General features: G+C 51.1%; 1 protein-coding gene and 1 long non-coding RNA gene across 4 annotated transcripts in view, besides 3 other annotated features; one reads left to right on the forward strand and one right to left on the reverse strand.

Annotated features, from left to right (window-relative positions):
* SYNPO2L (synaptopodin 2 like) lies at positions 1-11,144 on the reverse strand. 2 transcript variants are annotated; one of them, NM_001114133.3, is made up of 4 exons: positions 10,933-11,144; positions 9,244-9,395; positions 8,254-8,768; positions 1-3,994 (listed from the first exon to the last, which is right to left on the reverse strand). In NM_001114133.3, exons 1-4 carry the CDS (start codon positions 11,035-11,037, stop codon positions 1,833-1,835), a joined length of 2,934 nt encoding a protein of 977 aa, NP_001107605.1. In that variant the 5' UTR covers positions 11,038-11,144; the 3' UTR covers positions 1-1,832. The 2 variants fall into 2 exon arrangements, with proteins under 2 accessions (NP_001107605.1, NP_079151.2); NM_024875.5 differs by lacking the exons at positions 8,254-8,768; positions 9,244-9,395; positions 10,933-11,144 and adding an exon at positions 6,023-6,155.
* Positions 2,826-3,529: an enhancer, noted in NCBI's record as "H3K4me1 hESC enhancer chr10:75407469-75408172 (GRCh37/hg19 assembly coordinates)". NCBI's record gives its function as "activates a minimal SCP1, AML or CMV promoter by ChIP-STARR-seq in naive H9 embryonic stem cells {active_cell/tissue: H9 hESC(naive)}" and the evidence as "EXISTENCE:reporter gene assay evidence [ECO:0000049][PMID:30033119]".
* Positions 5,662-5,731: an enhancer, noted in NCBI's record as "active region_3567". NCBI's record gives its function as "activates an Ori minimal core promoter by ATAC-STARR-seq in GM12878 lymphoblastoid cells {active_cell/tissue: GM12878}" and the evidence as "EXISTENCE:reporter gene assay evidence [ECO:0000049][PMID:35858748]".
* Positions 9,154-20,003, forward strand: part of SYNPO2L-AS1 (SYNPO2L antisense RNA 1) — a 21,410-nt gene continuing 10,560 nt past the window's right edge. For both annotated transcript variants that reach the window (NR_187519.1, NR_187518.1), the window contains exon 1: positions 9,154-9,421. This is a non-coding gene — a long non-coding RNA (SYNPO2L antisense RNA 1). The remainder of the gene's footprint in view (positions 9,422-20,003) is intronic.
* Positions 11,086-11,380: a silencer, noted in NCBI's record as "tiled region #4994; HepG2 Repressive non-DNase unmatched - State 23:Low". NCBI's record gives its function as "represses a minimal TATA promoter and a strong SV40 promoter by Sharpr-MPRA in HepG2 cells {active_cell/tissue: HepG2}" and the evidence as "EXISTENCE:reporter gene assay evidence [ECO:0000049][PMID:27701403]".

Here is a 20,003-nt window from a genome sequence, read left to right on the forward strand (position 1 = left end):
TATGGGGCATAAATTTATTCTTGTGCACAAACCAAAGTATTGTGACTCACACCCAACAAGCAAAGGAAATTATCACTTTCCAGATTACACAGCAAACGTAGCTGGTGGTGGTCTTGGTGAGAAGGGAGTCCATACTAAGATTGGAGATCAGGACCTGAAGCTGAAAAGAAGCAATAGCTGGGGTTTTGAGGGATGGGGTGGGACTGAAAGGAGGTTTTGGCTCTGGGTATTTCCCTACTCTTTCCCAGGCAGTCATGGCAAGCTGCAGAAGACACACTGAAGAACAGACTCAAGGAAAATCACACAGACACCAACCGTTCTTTCAACACTCAGCACACACCCTCACACCTCCCTTCCACCATCATTCCCTTCCATTCTAACATTCTTCTCCCTCAAATTTTTTTCCAATCCCCCTCTCACACACGGTTGGTTTCTTGTTACTCAACTTTACCTTCTCCCAATATGGCATTGTCCCTCGCCACACTTCTGTCTGTGGCTCAATCACTTACACTCATTTCTGCCATGCTTCTGATTTTGGCCTCACTTGCCACACTCTGGCTCTCTTCTCCTTTCTCTCAAGCTCATGAGGCAATGAAGCCAATGATTTGTTCATTCTCGGAGGGAATTTTCTTTCTTTTTTTCATTTCCTGGGTACTGGGTTGCTCAGCACTGGCCTCTCAAGTTGCTAACTTTTTGAAATCCTGAGGTATAGAATTCTTTGTTCTATTCCTGGTCTAGCTGGTATAACTCAGCCCATGCAAACTGTCCTGGCCCTTCAGTCTTTTCATGCTCCATAACTTTCACAAGATGCTGTACACCTGCTACAGACATTGGTCTCTAAGGAGTTATTCTCTAGTGAATCTCTTTCTCCCACTCAACTCCATGTGGGGATATCTGACCCTTCTATCAGTACAACGATAAGACTCAGATTGGGTCTTTTGTTTGTTTGTTTGTTTTGAGACAGAGTCTCGCTCCGTCGCCCAGGCTGGAGTGCAGTGGCGCAATCTCAGCTCACTGCAAGCTCCGCCTTCCAGGTTCATGCCATTCTCCTGCCTCAGCCTCCCGAGTAGCTGGGACTACAGGCGCTCGCCACCACGCCCAGCTAATTTTTTGTATTTTTAGTGGAAATGGGGTTTCACCGTGTTAGCCAGGATGGTCTCGATCTCCTGACCTCGTGATCCGCCCGCCTCGGCCTCCCAAAGTGCTGGGATTACCGGCGTGAGCCACCGTGCCCGGCCTCAGATTGGGTCTTTATTTTGACCTCCCCTCTTATTCATGCCTTAGACGGAAGAGCACACACACACACACACACACACACACACACACACACACAGGCCTAGGTATATGCCAGTCAAGCTTGGGAAAGCAGAGTGGGGGGTGGGGGTGGCTTAGTGCAAACAGGGGTCAGTTCAGTCCCTTTGCTGTGTGCCTGGTGGTGAGCTTCTTGCCTGAAGTCCCAGTGGTCACTTCTGCTCTGTTTACTTCTCACTGAACATTAAAATGAGGCCCAGGGAGAAAAGCACAAATGTCAAGGAAGAGAGATCTGTGGAGGAATATGGGTGGAGAAGCCTGGAAATAAAGACAGAGATCCAGGAAAGGAAATGCAGAGACAAAGAGAGGCAAAGATACCAAAGCAGACATACTTGGTTGGAAAGCGGCAGGGAGGTAGAGAGTGAGGAGGAAGGTGGGGGAAGGGGACATCAACTTGGAAACCATCTCTGGCAGGAGGCAATTTAGCTTCCAGATGCGTGACAGGGGATGGGATAGGGTAGGAGAAGCAACTTTAGGAACTGGATGTTCCACCTCTCCTTGGTCCTGGGACCTGTGCCTGTTCACTGGTGCCCTGCCCCAGGCCTCCACACATGAGCTTGCAATCCTGTTCTGGTGGCTGAAAATCGGGGCCTGGCTACCTGGAAACCGCAGGAGCTGGGAGAAGCCCCAAGGCCCCTGGGAGCCTCTGGAGGAGGGGCTGGGCTAGGAACAGGGGCTGAGGCCAGTTCTGTTCTCCAGATGGGCTCATCCAGTGTAGTGGCTGCTCGGGGGGCAAGCACAGTGGGAGCCAGGGGTTCTGCAGTGGGCTGGGGTGCCGGAGTGGAAAACCGGCGAATCTCCTGGACTCGGGCAGTTTTGGGGGACCCTGAGGCGATAGGGCCAGGAGTCGGGGGAACCTCATCAAAACAGAACATGGCAGTTTTAAGTTGATAGGGCTGATGCCGCATAAAATCTAGAGCCTTGATGCCCTGCTTGGGTGTTGCCCGAGGCCCCTGGGATTGGGCCTTAGGGAGAGTTCGGGCCGCCTGGGGGAAAAAGGGAGAGAGCAGTGGGTTGTAAGCAATAGGAGGCGGGGCACGGATGTTGGGTGAATATTTCCAGGAAGGGGGCAGAGACGGGGTAGGAGAAGGACTTCTAGGCCGAGGGCCAAGACCAGGACCAGGTGTACCTTCCACCACATACCTGTCCGCACGGCTCTGCCGCTTAGCAAACAGCTCCCCACCCCTGCCCTGCAGCCTTGGTGGCTCAGGGATTCCAGCCGAAGAGGCTGCCCCATTCACGAGCCCATCAAGGAGCCCTCGAGATGGGGGCTTAGGAGCCACTGGGGGTGGAGTCTTAGGAGTCATAGGGGGCGGGGTCTTGGGAGCCATTGGAGGGGGGGTCTTAGGTGTCACGTGAGGCAGGGTCTTGTAACTCCTGGCCCCTACTGGCTGCATGAAGTTGCAGGCTTCAGCCCCGAGGCTCAGAGCATCTTCTTCAGGACCAGATTCTGCACCCCCGGCCCGAGGCTTTTCATCCAGGTTCTGTACCAGCGATAGCAGCTCGGGGTTGGGCGAGTTCTTCGTCTCCTCCTTTCCCGGCCGGAACATCTGCTTCCGGGTCCCCCGGCGCCGGGCCTCCTGCAGGATACCCGTGCGGGCAGCTGGCACAGAGATGCGCTGCTCGCGAGCGCTGGGGGGCTCAGGAGCCCCTGGGCCTGGGGCAGGCGCCTCTGGGCGCGCAGAGGGTCGCAAAGGCGCAGATAGGAAGATAGAAGCGGTGGAGGTCATGGCAGCTGCGCTAGGAGGAGCGGGGGGCTCTGGAGCTCCACCTGGGGTGACAGGCCGACTAGGGGCTGGGATGTACAGGGAGCTGGTGGCTGTCACAGGGCCCGAGGAGCGTGGGGTGCTGGGGGAACCAGAGACTGGCGCGTGGCTGGGAACCCCTGAAGTGAAGCTGGGCAGAGGGGTGGGCCCCTGCGAAGACAAGAAGGGGGGTGGGGCGGGGCTGAGGCCCCCCAGGCTGTCGTTCGCCCTTTTGGGGGCTAAAGGCCGGAAAATAACCGAGGTGGTAGTTGGCCGCTGCCCTTGTAGGCCCGGGGTAAAGGGCCTGGCTGACCGGTTAAAGATGCTTGGAGCTGGGGTCGGGGCTCCACCACCTGGTTGGAAGGGTCTGGGGCTGGCTACAGGCGCCGGCAAGGGGCTGGGTGGGAGCACAGCTGCCTCTGGGGGAGCACTCTGGGCCCGAGGTGGTGACTGCAGGCCTTCCCCGTTGAGCATGGCTGCTGGTTCGACCCGTGCCAGTTCCTGGGTGCTGGAGTCTGCGCGCTGGCGCTGCTGTTCAAAGAGCTGCACCCCTCGCCCAGAGACCTCACTCAGCTGCCCTCCCAGCCCAGAGCCCTGGCCCTCTGATGCTCTTGAGCCCGCCCTGGCAAGCTCCATGTCCAGATAGGGACTGTCCCAGTCAGATTGATTGGTGAGGCTGCGGGCGTCAGAGAAGGCTTCTTCGTCCAGCTCGGACTCACTCGTGGGGGGAACGCCGTCCTCCTCCTCAGCGCCTGTCCCAGCAGCAGCCCCGAAGCTCACCAGGGTGTACTTCTTGGCTCTCTGCCGCCGTTTCTTAAACATAAGTACCCCTTTGGAGTGGGGGTTGGGGGCTGCAGTGAGCAGGGATGCAATTGTCCTGCATTTGGTCTTGGCCTCTTTTATGCTCTTCTCTTGGAGGCTCTCTGCACGTTGCAGTTCTGGGGAGGCCAAGAGGTAAAATGGTCAGGGGGGCTTCCCAGCCTCTTTTAGTCCTGTTCCCCAAGGCTTTCACCCCCCATCCCAGCAAGCTCCCTCTTGCACTGACCCGACCCACAATGTCCCCTGTGACAAAGTCCTCTGACTTAGGGGCAGAGTGGAGGGTGAAAGGTGAAACCAAGGACAGTTAAAGATAAGGCAGAGTCCAGTTGGCTGCCCTGACACTGCTCTGACCACAGCTCTTCCATCCCATTTTACTGCTATTCTGCTCCTATCTTCCAAGAGATGTGCTCTTATCCACCCCACACACATTCCTCACCTGCCTCCCATTCCTGACTGGCAATGGGAGGGGGAGGAGAAGGATGTGTCACTCTCCGTGGCAGACAGGGAGATAAGCAGGTCCCAGGGAGAGGAAAGATGAGAAGGAACACTTTCCACCCATCATAGGGACCATGTTAGGAGGCTTCTCATGAAGCTTAGGACTCATCCTCTCCACTACCCCTTACCCCTATGATATGAGCACAAAGAACCCTTAGCAATGAGGATCTTCATTCACAATTCCACCCTCCTCATGCAATCCACATCATACACATTCACAGAAATAACTCCCACCACACAGCACTTCAACAAGAATATCCATCTAGTGAAAGCCAACTGTAGGCGTACTTTCTCCTATTTACTTTTCTCTCTCATTCACATATACCCCAGCTTACATACAGCTCCATTCACATACACTTATGTAAATACACATGTGTGCACATCAAAACACCATCACTCAAATACATTCACACACCTACATGCTCTAGGTGGCCCTTCTTCCCAGAGACCTCCCTGCAGAGACCCTGTTACTAACAGTTTAGACAGAAGTTAAAGTTGATCTCGGCCTTCCAACTGCCAGGGCAGTCCTCTGGGCTTCACACCCCTGCTACTCACAGTCAGGGGTAGTCTCCATCCAAGATGCAGGAAAAGTTAGAGTGTTGTTCTCCAAGGCAACACTCCAAATCTTTAGGATACCTCAAGGTCGCCAGCTAAATATATTATTTACCCCAAGCTGGGGATGGTAGTGGGGTGGGCTTCTTCAGGGGTCAGAACTGTCTCTACGTAGAGAGCTCAGGCAGCCACTGCCAGCCAGGCACACAAAGACTATGTGCTAAAGGGAACCAGGGCAGGGCTTTCCATGCCATGTGGGGCCTGGGTAGGTGGGGCCAGGAAATGGGAGGGCTACCCTGCTGCGAGGACCCCGCCTTGCACATGGATACTCTCTGGTCCATGGTCCCCAGTTCCTCCTGAAAAATTATTGAGATTCCATCTACTTTCCACTCAAGGTACCATGCTCCTTTGTAATGAGCTCCTTTGTAATGAGCTTTGTAATGAGCTCCTTTGTAATGAGCGTGGTATCTTGAGTGGAAAGTAGATGGAACTTTTTCATTTTTGTCATTCCTCTCATCCCAGTGTTTATACCACAGAATAGTGGTATGGATGAGACAACAGGCCCTAGAGTCAGAGTTCAGTTCAGGTTTTTGGTTTCTGGGATAGTTACCTCACCTCATTAAAGTTCGGTTTCCTCATCTGTAAATGAGGGTAGACAATGGCTACCTCATAGGATTGCTATAAGGATTAACTGAGATAATATAGTAAATTTAGCACTTAACACAGTGTGAAGGCCCACTATAACCATTACTATTGAAGTCTTCTTGACACTATACTTTCTTGATATATATGGATACTTTCTTGTTCACACATATCTTCTCCCATGACTCACACATACATGCCTTCATGTATTCATAATGTACTCACACACGCTCTGTTCCCATGAGTTTTCTACAGCTCTTGTGGTCAGAAACCCCTTTGACATGTGACCACAGCATCACTGAGAAAGGGGCAGTGAAACTCTCCTGAGAAAAGGAGGAAGAGGACAGCAAAAAGGAACAAGAGAGTAAGACCTTTCCCAAAGACTACCCTTCCTAAACTATTGACATCTTCCCCTCCATTCTAGACCCCAGACTCTCATAGATATGGGAGGGTAGTACCTGCATAGAACGAGTCTTGGAGCTCAGGAACTGGGTCTGGGGCTTTGTCATAGCTGGCTTGGCTGAGGGGCTCTTGGCTGATGGGCTCAAAGGTCTCCATGCTGAGAAAGGCGGTGTTGGCTGGAGCAGGACCAGCTTGAGCCACCCCCCACGCCTTTTAAAGCCCCTTTGTCTTGTCCCCAGAGCTGGCAGCTGAATGAGCTCACTGTGCTATTTTTGGAGCCTGGCCCTCTCCCTTCTCTGGGCTGCCCCACAAGTGCCGGTGTGATGGATGTGGGCACCTGCCTTCCCTTCCCCCAACCCCACCCCAGTAGACAATGAGGTCTGCTTGACTAAAAATATCTCTGAGCCAGTAGCTACAGTCTCATCCAGCATTATGGGAAGGGAGGGGGAGATAAGTGGAGAATTGAGGAAAGCATAGGATCCTAGGCACGCATCTGGAATTCCTGGGATATTGGACACTCAGGGATGTCAGACTCTCAACTCTCATGTCCTTAGCCTCCACTCCAAACTGAGAGACACAAAGTTCTATAGATCAGGAATCAAAATGGTGGAGGAGAGGGAAGAAATATAACTAGAGGGGGAATCATGAGATTTTGGAGGTAACAAGAACGGTCTCTGTGGGAAAGCACGGGAGGCATAGAGCAGGGAGAACGTTTACCCTTAGACCTTGTTCTGTAGCTCACATCAAAAATAGCAAAGCCTGAGATAAGTGGAATGGGCTTTTTCTGCCCAGGCCAACATTCTTGCCTGAGATAAGGAGCCAAAGCTCCCTCCCTCTGCCACTTCCTCGGGATCTCATGATCATCCCATAGCCTCTCAGTCCCCAGGAATCCGAACTGAACTTGCAAATGTCAAAGGTGCCTGCTATTAATACTATAAAGAATCCTTTGGCCAATGGCTCACGCCTGCAATCCCAGCACTTTGGGAGGCCGAGGCGGGTGGATCACAAGGTCAGGAGTTCGAGACCAGCCTGGCCAACATAGTGAAACGCCGTCTCTACTAAAAATACAAAAAATTAGCCAGGTGTAGTGGCGGGCACCTGTAATCCCAGCTACTCGGGAGGCTGAGGCAGGAGAATTGCTTGAACCCAGGAGGTGGAGGGTGCAGTGAACCAAGATTGCACTCCAGCCCGGGTGACAGTGCAAGACTCTATCTCAAAAAAAAAAAAAAAAAAAAAAAACCAGAAAAAAAAAAGAACCCCTGTAGCTTTGACCCACTTTTATTTATTAATTTTTATTATTTATTTATTTATTTATTTTTAAGACAGGGTCTTGGTCTGTTGCTCACGCTGGAGTGCAGTGGCGCAAACATGGCTCACTGCAGCCCAAACCTCTCAGGCTCAAGCAATCCTCTTGCCTCAGCCTCCCAAGTAGCTGGGACCATAGACATGTGCCACAGTGTTTGGCTAATTTTAAAATTTTTACTGGAGACGAAGTCTCACGATGTTGTCCAGGCTGGTCTCAAACTCCTGGCTTCTGCCGGGCATGGTGGCTCACGCCTGTAATCCCAGCACTTTGGGAGGCCGAGGTAGGCATATCACCTGAGGTCAGGAGTTCGAGACCAGCCTGACCAGTATGGTGAAACCCCATCTCTACTAAAAATACAAAAAATTAGCCAGGTGTGGTGGCGGGTGCCTATAATCCCAGCTACTCGGGAGGCAGAGGCTGGAGAATCGCTTGAACCCGGGAGGCGGAGGTTGCAATGAGCCAAGATCACGCCATTGCATTCCAGCCTAGGCACAAGAGCCAAACTCCATCTCAAAAAAACAAAAAACAAAACAAAACAAAAATCCTGCGTTCATGCTATCCTCCCACCTCAGCCTCCCAAAGTGCTTGGATTACAGGTATGAGCCACCTTGCCCCGCCTTCAACCTGCTTTTAAATACTCCCCTGTCCTGTGTCTGTACTCTGCTTTCACCCAATCATGACACACAATAACAATTATCACCACCACCAAACCCTTCATCTATTTGTGTCCCTTTCCAATTTCCCTACTTACCCTGTTCCTGGGTTGAACTGAATCACCTTACCCTTTTGCCACATTGGTTCAAACAGCAAAAATAATGGTGGCCATGAGAATAATTATGCTCCCCTTCTACTCATTACCCCTCCTGTCCCCAAGACTGTATCCAAGGGTCCCAAGGTAGGGAGAATGTACGGCTATAGAAGGCTGGATTTAAGGCTCAGATTGAAGGATCCTGGCTGGGGAAAAGGGGTTCAGGCACTCACTGGCTTGCTTGGCCTTCTGGGTGTAGGTGGTAGTAAGATCTTCTGCCACTGGGTGGGGAACAGGCCCCACCATAGGGATGAGATGAGGACCAGGTCGGAGGGGGCCATGGGGTAACAGCAGAGCCTCAGCTGGGGGTGGCTGAAGGGCTGCCCCATCCTCCCAAGACGGGGAGCTCACACGGCTGTCACCCTGGCTGGGAGGGCCAGGGATAGTAGGTGCTGGCTCTGCAGGGCTGTCAGACAGGTAGACCTCATCAGGTGGGGCACCCGGAGGGGTGGGCCTTGTGGGGCCTCGGCGGCGAGGTCGACGGGGCTTCTCCTGGGTGGCAGGGCCATCAGCATCACTGTCAGTCTCTCCGTAGTAAGCCTCACTATCAGGAGGTGAACGAAGGCTCCCAGGCTGAAGAGGCTGAGGAACTGGAGCACCAGGGGGCTCAGGACTTAGTGGAGATAAGGGTGACAGCACCTGAAGCTCATGGGGAGATGGAGATTGCACAGGACCCTCGTCTGCTAACCTGGATAGGAAAGATGACAGAGCTTGAGAGATGGGCTGGGTACTGACAGCTAGAGAGATCTGGAAGGGATGGAGGGAAGAGGTAAGGGGGAGGGAAGAGGTAAGGGAGAGAGAAGGCTGTCATACAGTTGGAATGGGTGGGCCGGGAAGAGTGGAGATATGAAGACAAACTGGGAGGCAAATGTGCTTGAAGGGCTGTGAGTGGAAATAGGCTTAGAGGAAGATGTAATGAGGAGGAAACAGGCCAGGGGTTGAAGTAGGCTCATCAGTCAAATACCCACTGACATCCCCATCCCTTAATTGCAGATACATTCAAGCCCTCTGGGAGGCAGACACAAACCATCTGCACTCCAGCAGAAACGCACGAGCAGAAATAGGTACCTGTTAGTTGCTAAAGCCAGGCCAGTGAGACATAGAGCTGAGACAGGCAATGGGAGCCCTGGATTAGGGGAAGAGAAGAGGAGAGAGGTCCATACCGCTGCACAGTGAGGACAAGCTGATTTCCTGAGGCATCGATGAGGCTCATGGCACTGGCATGGGAGAGGTTGGTGCAAGAGACCCCATTGATTGCCAAGAGCTGGTCCCTCTCTCGGAGTCCTGCTCTGCCAGCCTGGCTCCGTCTTCGAATCTGAGATGTTGAAGGAGACACTGTAGGTAAGAGGGGGCTCCAAAGGGAATAGAATGAAAGGAAAAGATGGGAAGGACCCACAGGAGGGGATTTTACTTTGCAGGGTAAGAAGGGTGGGGAGATGCATGGAAGTGGCTGCAGTTGAAGTGGCCTGTCTAGAGGGAAGAAAGTATACAGACTGGAGAAAGAAATACATCATATGGTGGGAAATAGGGTAACCATTGAATGAAAGAGGCTTGGGAAGAACTGCATGGGGTAGGTAACTAGAAATGGTGGTTATTGGCTGGGTGCAGTGGCTCACGCCTGTAAGCCCAGTGCTTTGGGAGGCCTAGGTGGGTGGATCACTTGAGATCAGGAGTTTGAGACCAGCCTGGCCAATGGGTGAAACGCTGTCTCTACTAAAAGTACAAAAATCAGCTGGCCGTGGTGGTGTGCGCCTGTAATCCCAGATACTTGGGAGGCTGAGGCAGGAGAATTGCTTGAACCCAGGAAGCAGAGGTTGCAGTGAGCCATCATGTCACTGCACTCCAGCCTGGGCAACAGAGTAAGACTCTGTCGCAAAAAAAAAGAAAAGAAAAAAAACGGAAAGAAATGGTGATTATCTCCACAAGCTTTTTCTCCAAGGGCAATATCTATATTGGCTGGTAATTCTCTACTAGGCCTTGTAACCCCAGGCGCCATTACACAGTCAAGATTTTAGAACAGTACTCCAGGTTGGAGGGAGTCCAGCGGTATTCTGGGAGATTGTGATTATTTGGGTATATGTGTGCCATGTATACACACAAATGTATATATGCCAAAGTAATAATAGTAGTAGTGGCTACCATTTATTGAGTTCTTACTAAGTGTTGGGCACTGTGCTACATGTATTATTGCATTTAATCCTTAGAATGGTTCCATGAAGTAGGTACAGGTACTATTATTACCCACATTTTACAGTTCGGAAAACTAAGCCTGTAGGGTGAAACCAAAAGGATAATGACTTCATCTGTGAGGCCAGATCTTGCCATAACCCTCCTAGCACCTAAAAAAGTCTTGCCTAGTGAGAGAAAGGATCTGACCTAGGGAAAGAGCACTGAAGGCATGGGCAGGGCAGGGTGAGGCAGGGTAGGGCTGGGCTGGGCTAGGCTGTTCGAGGCAGTTTCAGTTCATCACATATCAGTTTAGTCAGAGAGAAATTAGAACCTTCCCCGTATTTCTGGAGTTTGGAGTAGAGGCACATACCCAAGAGAACAAACACTGGATGACCAGAGCTGGGCCTCTGATACCACAGTGCTGCAGGGAACTGAAGCAGAGCCTTTCCTTTTCCTCTGCTCCCTGGAAACCGCGAATTCTCTTTTCTAATAGACCCCCACAGGAAGCCTGTGGTCAGACGCTACTCCCACTATGAGACTTGAGCATACTTCCCTGCCCACCACCCACCCCATCTTCACAGCCTCCCACCCCCCCAACCCCCGCCATATGCCACCACACATCTCTTCCCAGGATCCCTTGGGTTCCCTTTCCCTGAAGCCTCATTTCAGGGGCTCTCCCTTACCTTAGACACCTGTAACGGTTTCCTCTGCTCGGCCCCCCCATGAAGTCGGAAGCCCCAGGGGGCTCCCCCTGATAGTGTGACCAGCACCTCCTCCTCAGCACCCATCGCTCAGCTTGGCCTATGGCCCCCGGAGTTTGAACAGTGTCCCCAGGAGAGAAGTTGAGGTGCTCGAACCCCGTCTGGGCTTCCTGTCCGGCTGTCCTGCTCCTGCTGCCCCAGGCCTCCCCCCCACACCACACACCACAGGCAGGCAACTTGGCCCTGGGATCATTACAGTCCAGCACACATGTCCCGTCAATCGCAGATGTGCTCAAAATAGATGCCGCTTGTACTCCCCTCCCTCCCCCTTCTGTGTTACTCCTAGAGCTAATTATAGTACAAACTTCTGCCCTCCATGTTCCCAATTCTCCTGCATGGGCCTTTTATTCAGGACTCAGAATACAAACTCTCTGGGCTCTATAACCAATGTACACCCTTTCAGGAACTGTGCCTTCTCTAATAGGACCATGGGCTAATCTCAACTGCTTTCCTCCAAAGACCCTTTCAAAGTGGCAGCAGCAGGGGCTTCAATTCCATAGCTGGCAAAGAATGGCTGGGCTTGCTCCAAGATCCCAGGAAAGAATGCACTCTCGCTATATAAATTTATCTGTTAATTAATAAATGGTGGGCCAGGCATGGTGGCTCACGCCTGTAATCCTAGCACTTTGGGAGGCCAAGGTGGGTGGATTGCTTGAGTCCAGGAATTTGAGACCAGCCTGGGCAACATCGTGAGATGGCCCCCCATCTCTATTTTCTTATTATTAAAAAAAGTTAAAAAAAAAAACCAAAAAACTATAGGCTGGGCACGGTGGCTCACACCTGTAAACCCAGCACTTTGGGACCAAGGTGGGCGGATCACGAGGTCAGGAGATTGAGACCATCCTGGCTAACACGAGGAAACCCCGTCTCTACTACAAATACAAAAAATTAGCTGGGCTTGGTGGCAGACGCCTGTAGTCCCAGCTACTCTGGAGGCTGAGGCAGGAGAATGGCGTGAACCCGCGAGGCAGAGCTTGTGGTGAGCCGAGGTCGTGCCACTGCACTCCAGCCTGGGTGACAGAGCGAGACTCCGTCTCAAAAAAAAAAAAAAAACAAACAAACAAACAAAAAACTATAAAAAAACAAATTACCTATTGCAATACATACGTGGTCATGGAAAGGTGTGTAGGTGTGCATAAACATACCAACCCATGTTAATACAATCTCTACTTGTCTCTAGGTTTCCATTACGAGAATGTCTCTGTTACAAGGCATAACATTATGGTGCTATAACTGTGATTATCAAAGGCTACAGAGTTTCATAAAATAGCTGCCCACCTAGTGTATGCTAAATACCGTTTGCCTTGGCATATGCCTCTATGTCCTAGAAACACTTGGGCTGGGTGCAGTGGCTCATGCCTATAATCCCAGCACTTTGAGAGGCTGAGGCAGGTGGATTGCTTGAGCCCAGGAGTTCAAGACCAGCCTGGATAACATGGTGAGACCCTGTTTCTACAAAAAAATACAAAAAAATTTAGCCAGGCCTGCCTGGTCACATGCTCCTATAGTCCCAGCTACTTGGGATATTGACGTGGGAGGGTTGCTTGAGCCCTGGAGGTCGAAGCTGCAGTGAGTCGTGATCCTGCCACTGCACTGTAGCCTGGGTGACATAGTGAGACCCTGTCTCCAAAAAAAAAAAAGAAAAAGGGGAGAAAACATTGGAGGCAACAGAGGGAGACCTGATCTCCAAGAAGAAAATAGTTGGGATTTTGGGGTCAGAAGAATTGAACTTGGGTTCTTTTTTTTGAGATGGAGTCTCGCCCTGTCGCCCAGGCTGGAGTGCAATGGAGATCTTGGCTCACTGCCACCTCTGCTTCCCAGGTTCAAACAATTCTCCTGCCTCAGCCCCCTGAGTAGCTGGGGCTACAGGCATGTGCCACCACACTTAGTTAGCTTTTTGTATTTTTAGTAGAGACGGGGTTTCGCCATGTTGGCCAGGCTGGTCTCAAACTCCTGACCTCGTGATCCGCCCATCTCAGCTTCCCAAAGTGCTGGGATTACAGGTGAAAGCCACTGCACCCGGCCACCCCCTTTTTTTTTTTTAGACCGAGTTTCGCTCTTGTTGCCCAGGCTGGAGTGCAATGGCATGGTCTCAGCTTACTGCTACCTCCACCTCCCAGGTTCAAGCGATTCTCCCGTCTCAGCCTCCCAAGTAGCTGACACTACAGGCACCCGCCACCATGCCCGGCTAATTTTTGTATTTTTAGTAGAGACGGGGTTTCACCATTTTGGCCAGGCTGGTCTCGAACTCCTGACCTCAGGTGATCCGCCCACCTCGGCCTCCCAAAATGCTGGGATTACAGGCATGAGCCACCGTACCCAGCTTGAATTTGGGTTCCTCAATAACTTACTAGCTGTGTGACCTCAGGCAGGGCAGTCACTTGGCCTCACCAGTAAAAAGAGGATTTAGGCCAGGCTCGGTGGCTCACGCCTGTAATCCCAGCACATTGGGAGGCCAAGGTGGGTGGATCACCTGAGGTCAGGAGTTCAAGACCAGCCTGATCAACATGGAGAAACCCCGTCTCTATTAAAAATACAAAAATTAGCCGGGCATGGTGGCGGGTGCCTGTAGTGTCAGCTACTTGGGAGGCTGAGACGGGAGAATCGCTTGAACCTGGGAGGTGGAGGTAGCAGTAAGCTGAGATCACGCCATTGCACTCCAGCCTGGGCAACAAGAGCGAAACTCTGTCTCAAAAAAAAAAAAAAAAAAAAAGAGGATCTAAATATCTATTCATTCACTATTCAAACATTTATTGAGTGTTAGCTACATGTCAGCCATTGTGCTATACCAATGGATTTCAATTAACCCTCAGTACATATTAAAATCACCTAGAAAACGTTTACAGCTACTGAGTCCCTAAAAAAAGACAGCATATCAGCATATAGGATTAAATGATGATGCAATGAAGTTTTACACACACACACACACACACACACACACACACACACACCCAGATCTCATCCTTAGGGACAGATTTTATTGGTCTGGTACCTGGTAGTGGCATTTTAAAAAGCACCACAAGGCCGAGTGCAGTGGCTCACGCCTGTAATCCTAGCACTTTGGGAGGCTAAGGCAGGTGGATCACCTTAGGTCAGGAGTTTGAGACCAACCTGGCCAACATGGTGAAACTCCATCTCTACTCAAAATACAAAAATTAGCCAGGCGTGGTGGCGCATGCCTGTAATCCCAGCTACTTGGGAGAATCGCTTGAACGCGTGAGGGAGAGGTTGCAGTGAGCCGAGATCACACCACTGCACTCCAGCCTGGGCAACAAGAGCAAAACTCTGTCTCAAAAATAAAAATAAAAAGCGCCACAGATGATTCTAATATGCAACCGAGGTTGAGAACCACTGAGTGCAGATACAGAAACCAATAAATTGCAACACATTAGTCTCTATCCTCAAGAAACTATGGTACCGAGCTGGGCATGGTGGCTCAGGCCTGTAATCCCAGCACTTTGGGAAGCCAAGGCAGGCGTATCACTTGAGGCCAGGAGTTTGAGACCAGCCTGGCCAACATGGTAAGACCCTGTCTCTACTAAAAATACAAAAATTAGTCAGGTGTGGTGGCACACATTTGTAATCCCAGCTACTTGGGTGGCTGAGGCAGGTGAATCGCTTGAACCCAGGAGACGGAGGCTGCAGTGAGCAAAGATAGTGCCACAGCACTCCAGCCTGGGCAACCCCTGTATATGCAATATTTGTTAACCAGTCCCTTTTGGTGCCCATCTAGGTACAGGTCTCATTTTTCGAGCTAAAGTATCTATAATACACTGGAAGTAATAGATGTCACCTCCATATTGTATGCCAAACCTAATAAGCAGAGCAAAACTTTTCATCCAAGTGATTTGATTAACATTTTAGGATGTTTCTAATCTCTCAATAATACAAATATGCTACAATAGATCTGTGTGTTTATCCTTTGGGCACCTGTGTGTGCCTGTGCACACCTGGAGAATAAAGTCCTGTGAGAGGAACCGCCATCCAAAGAGGGTGTTTCAGTCTGTACTGCCACCAACAATGTGCTCGTGCCTCTGAGCTTGCGTTTGGATCAGGAGAATTTGAAAGTCATCAGGAACCAAACCAGGATACAAGGTCCAGCTGTAGCTGGAAAGTGGCAAACGTTCCAAAGCTAAGACATTGGCTATTTCTGGGCTGTTCACAAACTGTGAGGCCAATTCCAGATGAGATCCAGAGAAAGGGTGAGCAGCTCACTTATTTTTTAAGCAAAACACATTTTCTTCTCATTTCTTCTAAGAACAAATGGCTTCCAGCAAGAGAAAAAGGGGATGCAACATTTTTACAAATTATTTCTTTTTTTATTAAAAAAATTTTAAGTTAAATGCTAAAGATATGTTTAACCTCTCTGATACTGACTTGCTCATGAGAAGAAAGAGAGAGGGCCAGGCATCTTGCCCACTACTACCCACTATCAACACTTAGGCCTGACATCAGTCTCTCAATTAATATTCTGGGCCAGGTGCGGTGGCTCACGTCTGTAATCCCAGCACTTTGGGAGGCTGAGGCGGGTGGATCACGAGATCTGGAGATCGAGACCATCCTGGTGAAACCCCCTCTCTACTAAAAATACAAAAAATTAGCTGGGTGTGGTGGCAGGTGCCTGTAGTCCCAGCTACTCAGGAGGCTGAGGCAGGAGAATTGTTTGAACCCAGGAGGTGGAGGTTGCAGTGAACCGAGACCATGCCACTGCTCTCCTGCCTGGGCAACAGAGTGAGACTCCGTCTTAAAAAAAAAAAAAAAAAAGGCCGGGTGTGGTGGCTCACGCCTGTAATCCCAGTACTTTGGGAGGCTGAGGCAGGCAGATCACGAGGTCAGGAGATCAAGACCTTTCTGGCTAACACAGTTAAACCCCGTCTCTACTAAAAATACAAAAAAAATAAAAAAAATTAGCCAGGTGTGGTGGTGGGCACCTGTAGTCCCATCTACTCGGAAGGCTGAGGCAGGAGAATGGCGTAAACCTGGGAGGCAGAGCTTGCAGTGACCTGAGATCATGCCACTGCACTCCAGCCTGGGCAACAGAGCGAGACTCCATCTCAAAAAAAAAAAAAAAAAAAATCAACAGCGGCTTCTAGGATGATTGAGCAGTGACTCAGTCTCTCCTTGACCAGATTCTGTAACTGTCCAGCAGAAATGCTTATCTGATCTCTGTGAGAACAGGAAGCAGCTCAGTGGGGGCCTTCCTTGCTAAATTCTTCATCAAGCTGGTCTGTTATCTGCCCTGAGTCCTGCAAGAACATCTCAAGAAAAATACCAAAAACATGCAAGACAAATGAGGGTCCTTCTTTAGTGTGTTCTTGAAGCACTGAGGTGCCTGAAAGTTATATATAGTTTCTGGGGAAACAGTTTTTTAGGAAATGTAGCACAGATACTAACTATTCTTCCAGAAGAGCCCCTTCCTGACGTGAAAGATCTTAGTGTGAGAGAGAAGCATCTGATTCATCATGGGGACCTATCCAACCAGCAGCAGAGACCCCAGTGCCAGTGTCCACCTCAGCAGAGGAGACGCGGGGGAAATGCAAAGTGTTTCTGTTGCGAAATACTTCACCTAGGGTGACTATAGTTAGCAGCAATGTATTGTATATTTCAAAGTAGCTAGAAGGCTAGGGGCAGTATCCCATGCCTATAATCTCAGCATTTTGGGAGGCCCAGGCAGGCAGATAGATTACTTGAGGTCAGGAGTTCGAGACCAGCCTAGATAACTTGGTGAAACTCCGTCTGTACTAAAAATACGAAAAATAAAAAATAAAAAATTAGCCAGGTGTGGTGGCCTGCGCTTGTAGTCCAAGCTACTTGGGAGGCTGAGGCAGGAGAATTGCTTGAACATGGAAGGCAGAGGTTGCAGTGAACTGAGATCACGCCACTGCCCTCCAGCCTGGGTGACAGGGCAAGACTCTCTCTCAAAACAGAAACAAAAAGAAAAAACAAAGTAGCTAGAAGAGGGGACTTGAAATGTACCCAACACATAGTAATACCGAATATTCAAGGTGATGGACACCACAAACACCCTGATTGATCACCACACATTCTGTGCATGTAAGAAATGCTCAAATGTACTCCATAAATATGTAAAATGTTTTATATCAACAAGAAAATACCTTGCCTAGTGTTTCCATCCAAATGGGAATAAATCCAGGGCTTGATGTACACATTTCACCCATGAGGGCATGGGTCCCTGAAGCCCCTTGGCCCTGCCTGGCCTGGAATGGCAATGAGCAGGCCATCTTGCCAGCTGAGACATGAAGCCCAGGCTGGGCCTCTGTGCCAGGTCACACCCCTCTCAGGATGTGCTAGCGCCTGCCTCAGGTTGGTTTCCAAAGCCTCATCCAGTAAAACCAGGTCTCTCAAAGCAATTCCTCCAACAAAAGGGAATTCTCTGCCTACTTCAGAGTTTTTTAAAGTGTGGGTGGTAGCATGCTAGAACTGAAAGATTTCAGAGTCAGAAGAAACGGTTCTTATTCTAACTGTACCTTCCACCTCTTGGTTCCCTCATCTTTAGAATGGGAATCTGTTGGGGTGATGAGACCCAACACCAGGTCGCGGGGGCGGCAAGTCCAGTGGAGTCAAAGGAATGAGAAAGAGACAGTTTGAGAGAGAAAATGGGAGCGGGGCGCCATCGCGAGTGTGGAGGCTGCGAAGGCCCCGAGTTCTGGGAGCCCACGCTAGTTATTGGTGATCTAACAAAGAAACAGGTGGTGAGGATGTGGCGGTTGAAAGGAAACGGTGTATCAAGTGAATGAGAAACATATGGCTACTTGAGAGAATGGGAGTGCTAGAAGCAAGGAGCCAGCAAGTCTAGCAAGCCCTGCCTCAGCTTCTCTCCCAACACTCAGCTTTTCTCCCAACAGGAATCATACAAAACTCAGAGGCTAGTGAAATGTTAAAGCAGGTGGTCCACACCAGCTGCAGAGTCACAAACAAAATACGTGTCTGCTGCCATTTAGAAAGAGGACACAAACTCAGGCAAGACTGTTTTTCACACGATGACCCATGAGTGGCGCCTGGCTGGGCCTCCCCACACATAGCTGCTGACCTCTGAATACAACATACACTTCGGGACCAGGTGCAGTGGTTCACGCCTGTAATCCCAGCACTTTGGGAGGCCAAGAGGAATGAATCACTTGAGGTCAGGAGTTTGAGACCAGCCTGGCCAACATGGCGAAACCCCGTCTCTGCTAAAAATACAAAAATTAGTCGGGCGTGGTGGTGGGTGCCTGTAATCCCAGCCACTCAGGAGGCTGAGGCATGAGAATCACTTGAACCGAGGAGGCAGAGGTTACAGTGAGCCGAGATCGCACCACTACACTCCAGCCTGGGTGCCAGAGCAAGACTCCATTTCAAATAAAAATAAAAATAAAAATAAAAATGCTTTAGGGGACTCGGATGAAATTGAAAATGCCCTTTTTGACTTTGAACAGACTTGGTGACTTGTTAAGAAATCTTTGAAGCTTTAAAGTTATGGTAAAAATAAAAATCCATCTTCCTTTTCCTGCATAAGTTATTCAGAATAGGCTGTTTTGACAAGAAAGGCTCCCCAGATTTCCAGAGGGAAGGGTCCAAGCTGCCAGTGTTCACCCAGCACCAGGACTCATGCCCTGCCCCCAGGAGACCTCCCCAGGTCTGCACCCCTCAACTCCGTGCTGACTTGGTAGAGCAGGAGACCAGGGTTCCTGAGGGGCCAAGGCCTCCCCGCAGGTCCTCGCCTGCCTAGTAACATCCACCTCCAATGGACCCAGTCTGCCCCAGATCCCCCCAGCCCAGGTAGAAAGGAGCCCCAGGTCCTCACTGGCTCCCTCGGTGGCCTTCTCGGTGCGGTGGGCCAGGCCCTCGGCAGCCAGCTTTCCCAGGCCTCCCAACATCGTGTGGCAGCAGACAGTGGTGAACTAGGAGGCTGAGGACTGGCCCAACATGCTTTTATAGCTGCCTCTGGTGCCTATCTAGGCTCTGGGGCAACAAGCCCTCGCCCCAGCCCAGTAGGAGGCTGGACAGGTGAGTCAGCGAGGGCGGCAGCAGGAAGGGGCTGGGCGGAGCCACCCTGGCACTGGGGTGGCAGCATCCCCTGACAGCATGAAGCTTCTATAACCCTGTCCTAGGGACCCCGTGAAGGATAGGGGCAGGGAGCAGGGCTGGACAGGAGAGATCTGGACATGCCTCTTCCTTGAGGCAGAGGGCCTGAGTGCCAGCCCCCCTGAGACCAAAGCTTCCCAAGCCTGGGTACTGATATGTACCTGGAGACAAGGCCTAGGATTCCAAGCCTGCTGCTCAAGGTCCCCAGTGTGGCCTAGTAAGAGGTTTGGGGGTTCTATGGGCCTGGAGACCTAGGCAGTCCTTTGGGTCATGAACACAAGTGGAGTGAGGGTGACTGCCCTCCCCATTCCTGGAGACCCTGGCTCTGCAGAGCAGTTTGCGGCCTCCATGGGACAGCGTGGGGTGTTCAGGGTGGTGCCTTGCCCGAGTCAGAGGGGGGCACAGCACTGGGCAGAAGCGTAGTCACCAGGCGTCGCTCAGCTGATGCTCACTCACCCAAGAGTGTCTGTGAGGTCAGCGGTGCCCTCCTATCCCCTGGCAGTCCTGGAGGAGTAGACAGAGGCCTCCACCACCACTCAGGGAGATGCTTCTGGCCTTAGCTAGAATCCCCTAGAAAGCAGCTTCCCCGGCTCCTGGTGCATCGCATGAGGAGTGGCAGGGCTGCTCCCTAGTTACTCATGATGGACAGACGTGCCTCAAGCCCCCTGCCACATGCTGCTTCCCTTAGTCACCAGCCCAACCTGAGCCTCCGTTTCCTCATCTGTAAAATGGGGATAGCCTGCCTTCCTGGCTGTGTCACTAATCGTCCCTGAGACAAAGCATGCAAGCTCCTGATAAACACCTGTTCCCTCCACTCATCACTGAGGTGCCCTTTGGCAGTGAGCTCTGACCAACCGGTAGGGTGTGCCAAGGAGTGACTGGGACTTGAGGCTGCCTTGGAGCCAGAG

This window comes from Homo sapiens, chromosome 10 (assembly GCF_000001405.40).
Source record: "Homo sapiens chromosome 10, GRCh38.p14 Primary Assembly".
NCBI classification, from domain to species: Eukaryota; Metazoa; Chordata; class Mammalia; order Primates; family Hominidae; genus Homo; species Homo sapiens.

Excerpts from the sequence above, each read along its gene's own strand:
- SYNPO2L (NM_001114133.3), bottom strand. The coding sequence starts at position 11,037 with ATGGGTGCTGAGGAGGAGGTGCTGGTCACACTATCAGGGGGAGCCCCC. Across the intron at positions 9,396-10,932 it reads AACCGTTACAGGTGTCTAAG|ATTCGAAGACGGAGCCAGGC; the intron begins GTAAGGGAGAGC and ends TCAACATCTCAG. Across the intron at positions 8,769-9,243 it reads CTTGTCCTCACTGTGCAGCG|GTTAGCAGACGAGGGTCCTG; the intron begins GTATGGACCTCT and ends TTTCCTATCCAG.